Below are 10,767 nucleotides of genomic sequence, written 5' to 3' on the forward strand. Positions count from 1 at the left end.
CCTAGAACTAGAATCAGCTTATTTCTCTAAGGAGCATTAGTTCTTTTCAGAAAAAAAAGAAAAATATATTTGGAGGCCACAATTTATGCACTAGGGACACTCATTGCTCCTGTGTTGGCCATAGTTCCTAGGCTTTTTCAGTGAGCAGACTAGGAAGTGTGTGTGTGTGTGTGTGTGTGTGTGTGTGTAAATCATTAGGTAACATTGATACCTCCAATTCAAATTCAGGGATTTAGGGATTTTACTTAATTCCATCAGACTTGCATCTGTACCTCCTTTATCACGCTACAAAAATCTTGGTTCTCAATGATGCCAATAAAAAAATTCATTTTTTCTTTGTTTTATAATATACTCAAAACAGTCTCAGAATAATAGTAACAAGAATATAATTACTGTAAAGATTAATATTTAAATTTCTTCTTTTAGATATACCATAGACATGATGTAAGTTAAGTACTTGTGTAACAAATTCACTTGCAAAACTGCCTCTTTGTGTGGTTATGCTACCAACTTGTTACACAGTTTGGTTCACTTGTTTTATGTTATTTTTAATTTTTAGGGATTTAAAAAATGTATCAATTTAATTTGTTTTATAATTATGCGAAATATATACATGGTTATAAAGTCAAATCTACATAATCAAATTATATTCTTTTTCTCAATAAATGAGAGTATTGTATACACACATTTTGCTACTTTTTCTAAACTTAAAATACTCTATGTTCGTCACCCAGTAACAGTTTATAGAGATACTTCTTACTCCTTTTAACAACTTCATAGAACTTCAATGTATGTATGTGTAGCATAGGTTGCTCAAGCAATCTCTCAGTGATGGATACTTAGATAGTGTCTAGTTTTTTTTCTCCCTATTACAAAAAGTGCTGTAATCAGTAGCCTTGTGTATATTTATTTTTGTATGTTTGCCTGTGTACCTTTAAGATAAGTTTTTGAAAATATTACTAGGTCAAAGGATAAATGCTTATGAAATTTTCTTAGATATTGCTGAATTTTCCTCTATAGGGGGTTCTGACATTTTGTCTTCCTATCAACATTATATGAAGATGTCTATTCCCCACACCCTTGTCAATAGAGTATGTTGTCAAAACATTTAAATATTTGCCAATATGTTAAATGAGAAATATTGTATCTAACTATAATTCCCGTTTCTTTCATTGTATGCAAGTTTGAGCATCTTTTCATGTGGTTAAGGCACAATTGCATTTCTTTTCTGTGAACACGTATCTCAAGTCAATTTTTCTATAGGATGATTATTTTCTTATTCTCTTCCTGGATTAAATATGAAATGGAAGGAGAGGAAGTGTTGCAAACCTCAGTTACTTAAGCGAAAAACCTGAGATGTTTCTGCCCATGATTCTTAATCTGTAGTGCTGAGAAGATAAACTCAGCCAGAATTTGGTCAGGAACATAGACAAAACTCTAGGTATTCCAAATTGAAAGAACTAATACAAAGAATTGAAGGCTTGTATAATTCAGAAGGCTTGAAGAGTGAAGGTCAGGAGAGACATTTGCAGTGGCCAACCTTCCCAAAATCTCACCTGGCAGGGGCTAAGTTCAAGAACCTCTGGGAAGCTTCTCCTGTCAATCAGCCAATCTCAGCTTGTTGCCCCAACACAGTGATTCTCACAAAGCCTGCCTGGAAGTCACTCTGAACCTCAAGGCTGCCCCTGTGCTGCCTGAAAGGCTCTAGAGAATCATCACTTCTTCTGTTCTTCCACCGTCTAATCTTCCATAAGTGCCTATCAGTGGCACAATCTAAACTAGAAACTATGGGGAGCAGGGAATTCTGGGAAATGTAATTTTCAGGTCTCTTCAATGAGATAGCAGTGGAGGCAGCTTCAAAACAGCTCTTACTTGGCCTTTTGGGAGCACATTTCCCCCCTTTCATTTGAATTCTTTTTGGTTTTCTTTCTATACTTTTTGAATAAGAAAAAAAGATTTGAGAATCCAGTTAATAGTAATAAAAACAATAGCCTTTATAGAGCACCAGCACTGTGTTGAAATCTTTACATGTGGTGATTGAGGAAGGAGGAGGAGGGCAGGCTCTCATTTTCACAGTGTTTTCTATGTGAGTTCCAGCAATTAGAAGGCTAAGAAAAAAATACTTTAATAGACCAATGTTCATTAATCGGCTGATATGCAATTAAACTACGCTAAAAAAGCCTTCCTCATTTTTCCTAGCCTTTTTTCTTGACCGTAACTTGAATATTTTTGTTAGTTGATCTCCTGCAAATTTTAGCAATAAAATACCCATGATACTTTTGAAAAAGGACAAGAGTGACCATTTTATAGTTCCTAAAAGGTACCAGACTGACACAAATGTACTGAGAAAATATCTGGAGTAAAAAAATATACAAGATTGGACTGGAAAGGTCTTTTTACATCAGAAACTAAGGAAATAATAGAAACTTTTGGGGTGGCATCAAAAGGACCCAGGAGACAATTTAACAATGGTGTCATTGGCCAAAGATTGAATAATTTGAACATTAATAATAACAACTTCAGTGGATTGAAATATGTTTAAATCCCTGAGTTCAGAGTGACACAAGGGGAAAAAGCTGTAATAGTTATCTTTGGAGGATGCTAGGGAACAAACTTATTCATCTGTAAATTAACAAATAAAAGAAAAAAATGAGCATTTAACGTACCTTTTCTATATGAACTGTATCTCAGGGTAATCAAATAGTTCATGAGGAGAAATGTGTTTTTATAGAAATGTTGCACCAAATAAATGAAGACGGAATGATAGAATATCACCACTTGTCAAAATGCTAGTTTATTAATGGATCTTAACAATGATCATCAATAGTTGCAACATCACAAAAAGAGAGACAACTCAAAATTATTTCCCTACTGACAGAAGCACATAGCATCACTTGTAACTATTCTTACAAACAAAAACAAAAACAAAAACATATTCAAGCTCTAAGTACTTTTTTACATGGAACAGAGGAAAATGTTAAATGACACCGCAGTGATACAATCATCAAAATTCAACAGTGGGAAATTCTAACCACAAGGAACAAAAAAAAGAATGGAAACCTATAGTTTCCTTGGTTAGTGGATTTTTGGAAAAATTCATTCACACGTAGCCAATAAACACATTAATATCTTGGATGGATTAGGAGACATAAAATGTGGGAGAGCTTAGCTGACTAAATTGCACAAGCTGTGGAACATTTCCTTGTAGTTCCACTGGGCATAAAGTCTCTTAAAATATCCTTCAGAATACAATGGCACATGTAGTGATGTTGGCTTACTGTCACTTCATTGCACTGCAAATAAAATTAAGTAATTGGTTTATGATATTTATTATGGCTCCAAAATACCCTCAAACTGAAAATATCTCACATTTCCCTTACATGTGCTGTTTGGAGTAAGTAGTGGTAGATTTTCATTTCTTGATAAAATATATGGGGCACCTTTCCAAAGTTGCTCTCTACCAAAGCTCATTATTTTTAACGAATGGTGAAAAGAATCAGACCCCTACATCAGAAAGAAGTGGAATAAAAATACAAGTAAAGACAGTATAGTTGCTGCTTCATAAAATAAAATATTTTTCATTTTTTAATAATTTAGTTCCCAATGTTTATAGTAAATGCTTCAGTATATGTAAACTGCCATAAGGTGAATACCAAGGAATGAAGAAGCTTTTGCAATATGAGCTTATTGTACTCCTCCCTAGTTTCTTGTTTTGATTAGAAGCCAGTAGAACCTCTAGACTTTTGGGAGGATTTGGAATTTACTGATTAGTGAGATGCCACTGAGGAATATTAAAAATGATCTTAGACTTACACTTCCTTTGAAACATCTTTCTGACACTAAACATCAACTAAAAATCTAAGATTGAGTTGTTTCAACTAAACACATTTAGAACTAGGAAATAGACTGCAACTACTGAATATATTTCAACATGTCATTAGGGAGAGCTCACTAGAAGAGAAGGGAAAGCAAGTTGGTGAGGAAGGGGATCTCGTGTCTTTAAAGGAATTAAAAATATGAGACTCCACAGTTTCATATGTGACTCTGTGGATGACCTTACGTGGATGAAGGTTGACAGAAGATCAAGTTCCCACAGGCTTTGAATTCTATCCACATGTCTTTATTAGAGTCTATGATATTGAAAAGAAAGCCATTCAAAGGGGTGAGGCCATAGGGATAGCAACATTGTGCTGCCCAGTTGGGTGCATGCCTATGGGGCTGCATCTGCCCAGCGGGGGCACCATTTTCTAATTCTTGAATAAGCTGGCACCAGCCATGCTTTAGGCTGGGGAAGGGTGAACACTGAGGTGAGGGTGAGGTATTTTCCTGTGACTGAACAGTTAATTTGGCTTTCAGCTTGGAAAGGGAGGACAAAAGAAGAAAGAAAGCTTCTCCAGGTAGTTCTGAAAATGAACAATCTCATATATGTACAAAGAGTTCACAAACTTGATCAACCTCAATTCAGTTTAATTTTTTGCTTCAATCACCACCTTCAAATATTCTCTGTAAAATTTTCTTTGTTCTTTAGTGATTTTGAGTGCATTTCATTGCTTTGTGGTCACTTTCAATTTTCATGAAGTCCTCTTTAATGCATACAACTCATATCCTACTTGATGTTTGTTTCCTCTTCTATCCTCCTCCCACTAGGCTGGAGGGCCCTGCAGTGGGCAGGGACAGTGGCCTCTTATTTTGAATCATTCTTTTACTTTTCTGGTTCTTGTGTTGCATTAGGGAGGCGGATACAGATGGGACATGGCTGTCTTATTTATCTGGCCATAGATATAATCCTTCCATTATTTCCTCTTCTTTGGGTAACACTGACAGCAACTTGATACACTCTCTGGAACTGACGCTGATCTGCCGGCTCTACAGGGCACAGGGATGGGCTCTTCAGGGGGCTGTGAGTGGGAGAAGGGTGTTTCTCACTGCACAGTTGCCTGTATAGGAATTCTGCTATAGCCCTGCTGTTTGCCAACTCCTTTCCAGCTCTTGACCCCAGCAGTAAACCCCACAGACTCCTGGTGTTGGAGCAACTCCCAAGCAGCCAGTCTTCTCAAGTGGGATTCCAGTAAGATAGTTCCAGCATGGGTCTGAGGGCAGGCTGTTCATATTCCTTTCCTTTGACTTTCTTGTTGTCTTCCTTTATTCCCCCAACCCCACCCCCCTTCTGAAAAGGGAAGACCAGCCAGTCTGTTGATCTAAATAACTATTAAAAGTGATGTCTGTATAATGGTAAATGAGATGATGTTCTTTTCTTCTTGAAGGTCCGTCAATGTTTGTAGACGATTCACTTCAACTTTCTTTCATTTTCCTTTGGAGAGGTATAAGCACTTCCTGTACTCCACATTTTGTTCAAAGATGGGTGGCAAATGGCCAGCACTCTCCTTTAAAGTCGACAACTAGTGATTCTAACAATTGTATCTTTTTTCCTCTCCTCAATTTCTAGTCTTCTGTTTATATAGACTGAGGTCTGAAGGAGCTGTGGTTAAGAAGAGGTTGCAAAGTACCAGACCTGGCAGAAACTTCTGGTTCCAATTACTTGAAACCCCCTTTACAATGTGGGTTCTTTGACACCTCTTATGGATCGACAATTAAAACCTCACTCAGTATACTATTGTGTTAACTTATTTTACGTTGCATATATTATGATTTCTTCTCTCCTTCAATACTGACTTTGATGAAAATTTTAACCTGATTACATTGGCCTAAGAGCATTGGCAGGGAAAGCAGATAATTTTGTCTGTGCAGACATGGCTAATCCTGTTAAGCCTGGGTATAGAGCCAGATTTTTATATAGATGAGCTGGTTTATATGTGGGGGGTGGGTTGGGCAGGGGTCATCTTGTTGAAAAGGAGAGGGTATTGAATTCTCATTTATAGAATCCTTTATACTTTGTTGAGATAACATCAATTGTCAAAGAAGGGGAGGCTCTGTGGAAATTATGAGGGTAGGAGGAGGGTTGTAAAGCTCCCTAATGCCCTTATGGTTACTACTGTAGCCCCAGGCAATGAGAGAAAAGTATCTCTGGGCACCTATATTAGTCCTATATTAGAATAAAAGATATTACATTCTAATGGGTAATTGAGGAGACTTTAATAAAGGAACTATTTGTAAGATGTGGGAAGCCAACAGGCACAAGGAAGCACATGATAGCCAGCAACAGCAGGAAGCCATTAGAGGAAGGAGAGGGAAAGTTTACCAGGACCCAGAGAGAGCCATAGCCAACGCTATAGAAAAGAAAATGAGACACTGCCAACTTATGACCTAGCAGAGAGAGAACTGATGCCTTTCTCTTCCTTGCCTCTGACCTCCTGCTGGTACCTCTTATTGGGTGAACTGGACTTGTATCCAACTGGAAGCCACAGGGAAGAGAAGCCACGGAGGCAGTCCCTAAAAGTCAGTTACCTTGGGGGGATGTCAGCAGGCCACCAGGGTGGAGAAAGGTGGAGAGAGAGTCTGCAGGGGCAAGTGGAAAGTAACTGCCATAGACCCACTTCTTGCCTAGAGAAAGCCTGTTTGCTGACAGATTATTCTATCACATGTCTCATGCTAGAGTGAGTCTCTGACTTTTACGCCACCTGCAATCAGGACAACTTTTCATGATTTTGTGCTTCTAGGCAGAAATTTTCACAATTCGGCACATCCTCAGCTATTCCTCATATATTCATCAATGTTCTGGAAACAAAAACAGATAATAGGCCATTCATCACTTGGCTGAGCTCAATCCTGCTCTCAGTTGACCCTTATTTCATTCATTTTATTCAAGACTGGACCTCTATTCCTTTTCCCCTTTCTTTGCCCAAGGTAGCCATCATCAATTGATCTTTGCTTCCTTTCCTGATGAGCTAAGATACAGCCTCAGAATCTTTCTTAACCTACTGCTCTAGCATCAAAATAAATCAACTGGAGTTGATGTAGAGGGTGAAAGCATCTTTTATCCATGTTCTATGGGTTTCCTTAAATGTTTTCTTATTTTATTTAACAGATTCCTTCCCATTTACCCTGGAAAACATTTACTATACCCACTGAGTTTTTTGGTTTTGTTTTTACCATATGGAATAACAGCCAGATTATCATTAATTAGAAGACCTTTTTTTGAGTTTTCTAAATATCAGGGTCTTACCCCTTCACTTTTACTATAAGTTTATTTTCCTTTGCCTTGCATAGGCCCAGCATTCCATCCTTTGTTTTCCTTTCCTCACTATGGGGCTACACTTTCCCTGCCAGACTCTGATTGGAGTTTTGTTTCTCTCACTTAGAAGAGGCTGTTTCCATACGAGGATCCATAATAACAACATTGCCTCATATTTATAGGATTCTTTGGAATGCACAAAATACTTGCATATATATTTATGAACTTCTTTCTGATTGAAGGCAACATTTGGTGATATAATTAGAGGATCTTGGATCTTTGGTTTATGGGACTATATTACTCTTCAGAGTCTCTTATTATCTTACTATGGCTTTTAGTCACCTTATTGAGAAAAATACCTTTCTACCCACAAAATCTTTCTTTTTTCCTCATGTATATTTATTCAGTTACATAGGTAATTTTTGTTTTAGAGTGTTAGTCAAAGGAAGTAAGCCTTTAGAAAAATAAATGTGTAAAACAAACCTCCGATTTAGAAATCGAACTATAAATACTTTCTTCTTCCAAGATGATATTCAACAATTGAACTTATGTAAACCAAAGTTCATGTATGCATTTTCTAGCAATTTACTCATGATTTCAGAAACTTACAGTCACTTTTAATATGTGGTTTTTTTTTTGAGAAGTGTTCTTTTTGAGGATATTAATGTTCTAATCCCTTCTTTTTTCTTAAAGAGGAAATAGCTTGACACATTTCAGCTGGTCCTTAGAGAATGAAATTTACTACAGATGAAATTTACTACATTTCCTGTGGTATATTTTATAGGGGTCTTTTTTAAAAAAAAAGAAAAACTTTTTTACCTTTTTAAAGCCTGCAGCACCAATGTCTTTCCTCCTGGACATAATTTCTCCAGGTGTTCAGGCTGAGCTTGTAAAGCCTTCTACCATCATGAGCCTCTCTTTAAACTGGAAGCCTTCCTGAAATTTTTAAAATAATGAGGCCTCACCAGGCAAATTTATGATAAGGTTCCTTTTCCTCTCAGCCAAACCCACTGAACCTCCCATCAATTCATAATTGGTCATTGGCCTGTAAGACAATGGTAATAAACAACAGAAAGTGTTTCCTAGGTGTTCTGATCTTTTTATGAGAAAGAGGAAATGACCAAGTGATTTCACCTTAGTCTATGAAGTCAAGGGATATCTTGTGATGACATTATTAATCTCGAGTCTAGATTCTGGCTTCTCTCTGCTACCCCCCTCCCCTCTGCTTTTTTCCCCCAGACCTTTGCTTCCTTTACCCAATGCCTATGAAGCCAATCCCTGTGGTATCTTACCTTGGAAATAGACAGAGAAAAATAAGAGTTAAAATTAGAGGGTTTTTTTTTGTTTTTTGTTTTTTTTTGTTTGCATTTATTAGTGTTCCTTCTGTTTTCTGAGGGGTTTCCAGAGCATGGTTAGTGCAGAGTCTGCAGCTTTAACATTCTTATGGCGTCTTGTCTCTTCTATAATTCAGGGCTACTAAAGCCCCAGGGAGTGTCTTTAAAACAGGAAGTTGCTCAAGCAAATTATTATCTTTAGGAGGACAGATCTATGGCCAAAATGTTGCAAAGGCCAACTGCCTGTTCTTCAGGGAGGCCAGCAGACAGAGGCACACTTCAGGAGCAGAGGAACTAAACATGCAAGGCTTCTGCTTTCTCTCGTCTCTCTCTTACCCCTTAGAGAAGCCGCTGGCTGAACTAAAAATAAGTCACTTAAACTAAGTTGTTAAAGAGTCATCGTACTCAATTGGGTTTACTCATATTTTTCAGTAAAGCCATAAATGGTTATAAACACACTCTTCATTTTTCCCTCTATGTTCCTACCTTGCTCATGGTTCAGTGGCGAGCTTCACGAAGGCTTTTCATTCAAGTTTGACTTCTTTTTCCGCTTCATTTGTTGCCGAGAGCTCCAACTCATATGTGCTCATGCAGTTGGCTCCTGCTTTTCAGGGCTTCTGGGAGGCAGCCAGAGAGCTCAGGTGAGGAGTTAAAACATTTTGATTAAGTGTAGCCAATACCTCTGCTGCACTTGGCCTGCTTTGATTTAAAACATTCCTGAATCTTATTTCCCATAGCCCATGACAAAAAATAGGATGTACAGGGAGATCCATACTGAAACTCCCCGTACTAAAGTTGGGAAGGATATACATGGATTTAAGATTCAGTGAGATTCAGTGTTAACATTTCTTCCAGAGTAAAATGGAACATTTTATTTCACAGAATCATGAGAAAGTAAACAACAAAATATATGATTTGTCATAAATGTCTCTGTTGGCCCTCTGATCTGGGATGAACATGCTATGTGGGTTATGTGCTCCTGGAGTGCAAGGGCATGCCATAGGTTGCATTTCTGCTGTGGGACCACTATAAGGCATGGCACACAGTGGGCATGCAAGAAATGCTCGTTAAGTAAATACCTGCATAACAAAGTGAGTTAGTATTAAACCCCAAATGCCTTTAGGCAATGGTTATAGGAAAGAGAAGTAAAAAAGTAAGAAGTGAAAAAAAAACCCTCCATTCAATTCAGTTTCTCCAAGATAAGTGGACAAGTGATCTTCAGTAGAAGATGAACCTGAGGTTCCAGATTCTTCCAAATTCATTCCACTTACAATTTTTGAGGTAAAAAGCTTCTTTTAAAAACAAAGTATAACACTGTGAAAACACTAAATGTTTGATGTGGAAGCCTTTTCAACATCAGTAAAAAGAACAAAATCTTTTAGTATTTCAAAAACAGGGAAATGGTTTTAGATTTCCTTGAACATTTTAGAATTTAAAAGAATTGCCCATACATGAATAAAATCAGATTTTCATCAAAAGGCTTTTAAGCAAAACTTCACACTTTTCTCCATAAAACAAAACAAATATTTTTCAGAGTAATATTCTCTTACACAAAAGATTTTCACAAATCATTAGAGTGTTCCATGTCAGGAAAATAAAATTCAAAATTATTCAGTAAAGTATTTTTCTTTCATTTTTTATTGCTACTATGAATAAGAAAGCATTAAAGAGGATGAATGACTACAGATGAAAGTTAGCCTGCCAAACATAAAGAAAAAAAATTCTTTTAATGTTTTGGTCACGAACTCTGACAATGATAAACCACTTTTCAACAGCTGCAGACAGCTGTTAAAGTCTGGAGCCTAAAACGCTTAATTGGGGAAGTGTGTTAAAAGTTAAAGGGCCAGAGTCCTTCTAGGTTATGTGAAGACTGTCTTTGACAGACTATAATATTGATTTCCAAGGTTACAGAAAGAACATTTTTTCTCTACATTCATTAAACTAAAAATTTTAGTTTGCCAAATGTAAAGTATGATAGATATAGATATATAGATATAGAAATATTAATATCCAGAAATTGACATAGATACAGACTGAAAATAAGAGGCAGTGAACAATATAAGACGACACTCAAACTCACATTTGGTGATGAGATCAAGATTACTTGTACTCTTTTATTTCAGATGTTTGAACTGGCAACTCCTAGTCACTTAATGTGGGCATTATTAGAATTAATAAATTTGCTCAGGTTTAACTATTTAGTGATGATTGCCAACCCTACTCAAATTAGCAAAGTAGAAAATTTAAACATTTTGAATACTTTTTGTGTGTGTTCCTTGGTTTTTATTTTGACAATGTTTG

General features: G+C 36.8%; 1 long non-coding RNA gene across 1 annotated transcript; it reads right to left on the reverse strand.

Annotated features, from left to right (window-relative positions):
- Window positions 1-2,778: 2,778 nt before the first annotated feature.
- Window positions 2,779-9,078, reverse strand: LOC107986890 (uncharacterized). The gene is made up of 3 exons (XR_001745718.2): window positions 8,953-9,078; window positions 7,952-8,068; window positions 2,779-6,675 (listed from the first exon to the last, which is right to left on the reverse strand). It is a non-coding gene; the product is annotated as an uncharacterized LOC107986890 (long non-coding RNA).
- Window positions 9,079-10,767: the final 1,689 nt, after the last annotated feature.

Source organism: Homo sapiens, chromosome 8, assembly GCF_000001405.40.
Source record: "Homo sapiens chromosome 8, GRCh38.p14 Primary Assembly".
NCBI classification, from domain to species: Eukaryota; Metazoa; Chordata; class Mammalia; order Primates; family Hominidae; genus Homo; species Homo sapiens.